This window comes from Homo sapiens, chromosome 8 (genome assembly GCF_000001405.40).
Source record: "Homo sapiens chromosome 8, GRCh38.p14 Primary Assembly".
In the NCBI taxonomy this organism is placed as follows: Eukaryota; Metazoa; Chordata; class Mammalia; order Primates; family Hominidae; genus Homo; species Homo sapiens.
The window spans coordinates 81,424,346-81,426,258 of NC_000008.11; positions in this window are offsets into that span (position 1 = coordinate 81,424,346).

Here is a 1,913-nt window from a genome sequence, read left to right on the forward strand (position 1 = left end):
CTTAAATTCCAACAAGGGAATAATACTATCTAGTTTTCTTAATGGATGAAAAACAGCCTTGTCGCAGATGGAGTTTTCAAAACCCTTTCCCGGTAGAAGCATCAATCCTTTGATGCTACCGGGAAATTCACTCTGTACCACCAGGCCAATTAAAACAGCTGCACAGCAGTTAGCTGCAGGGAGGATTTCATGCTCCAAAAAGACTGCCAAAATTCCAACCCAGATAACTGGGACCTGAAAACTTTGCATTCCATTATTGATGTTTTTTTAAGTAGATAGCAAAATGTGGGAAATACCTTTTAAATAATCAGCTCCATACTCATTTTTTTGAGTAATTTGACCTTTTAAAATACTGCTGAAAGATGATTTATATTTTGCAAAGGTGTATCATTATTTTATAGATCTGTTTTCCTTGTTGATCCACATTTTGCTATTTTTATACCTTCACTTTTCCATATGCTTTGTCTTGAGTAATGGCTAATTGTGTTGCTGCCTGTGGAAATAACAAAGATAAGATGTAAACGGTTGCTTCCTTAACAAAGGACTTGATTACATCTAAATTACTTTTAAGGTAGTATTTTTACTATCTACTATTATTTAATATCACATTGGAAACCCTTGGTACTCCTGACTTTGGTAACATTTTACTCCATTTTATTGACAGCAACACAATAGACTATGTTAAATTTCTAACTACGGAAGACTTTGGCACAGTGGTGCTTAAACTGGCCACATATTGTAATCACCTGGGAGATTAAGAAAAACAGTGTCAAAGAAAGTAATTAGGTTATTAGGCTGAGTGCTTTGGGTTCCCACCTAAGCAAAACTAAACACAATTTGGTGTAAACAGTAAAATGAAACTTAAGCTTATCCAATCAGAACTGCCAATTAACATCTAATTAGAGAATCTACCAATCAGAAACCACGAAACCACAAACTAACCTCTAACTAGAAATTTTATCAATAAGAAACTGCCAACTAATCTCCAACTAGGGATGTTCTGCTTTAACCAATTAAATATTTTCTGTCTTACTTCTGGAAATACCTTATAAAAGTTTTTCCCGATTCCTACCTGGTTAGAGCCCACACCACTTGTGATTTGGGGCTGCCTGATTTATGAATCACTGTTGGCTCAAATAAACTCTTTAAAATTTTTGTGTGCCTAAGTTTACTTTTTAACAATATTGGTGCCTGAGTCTCACCCATCACCCGTAATTTGTAAATCAGTGGGTCTGGGGTGCTAGCTTGGTATTCATATGTTTAAAAACTTCCAGGGGATTCTAACATGCAGATACGCTTAGGGAGGTACAATTTGGACTAGAGGAAATCACTCTAAAAGCTAAGCAGAAGTGACTTTTTTCTTAGACAGAAGGTCTCACTCTGACACCCAGGCTGTAGTGCAGTGACATAGCCATAGCTCACTGTAACTTCAAACTCCTGGACTCAAGCGATCCTCCTACCTCAGCCTCCCAAAGTGCTGGGCTTATCAGCACGAGCCACCATGTCCTACCGGAAGTGACTTTTTAAGAAATTGTGAATTAAATCGTTAGTTAAAAATTAGTAATATTATGGCCAGCATGAAAATAAGACTCTTGTTAATGAAATCCAAGTATTATGCTACTTGTAGGTAGTGATGTGTTAGTAAATGTTTAAAACCAGCTCCCTAAGAAACAAAGCTCTGTTTAGTTGTGTTTGTCTGTTTCTCTGGTTGTGTTTGTCTGTTTCTCCCATCATAGATGATTTCAAGCTACCAATGGTTTTACAACTGACTTGCCAAGTTTCTGAAAATTTAACTCTTAAGCCAATTTTAGCCAGCTTCATTGTACTACTGCATCTAAGAGAACTAGATCAGGCATGCCAATTATCACCTGATTAATATTAGTTATTTATCCTTTGGAGATAAAATGCATTTA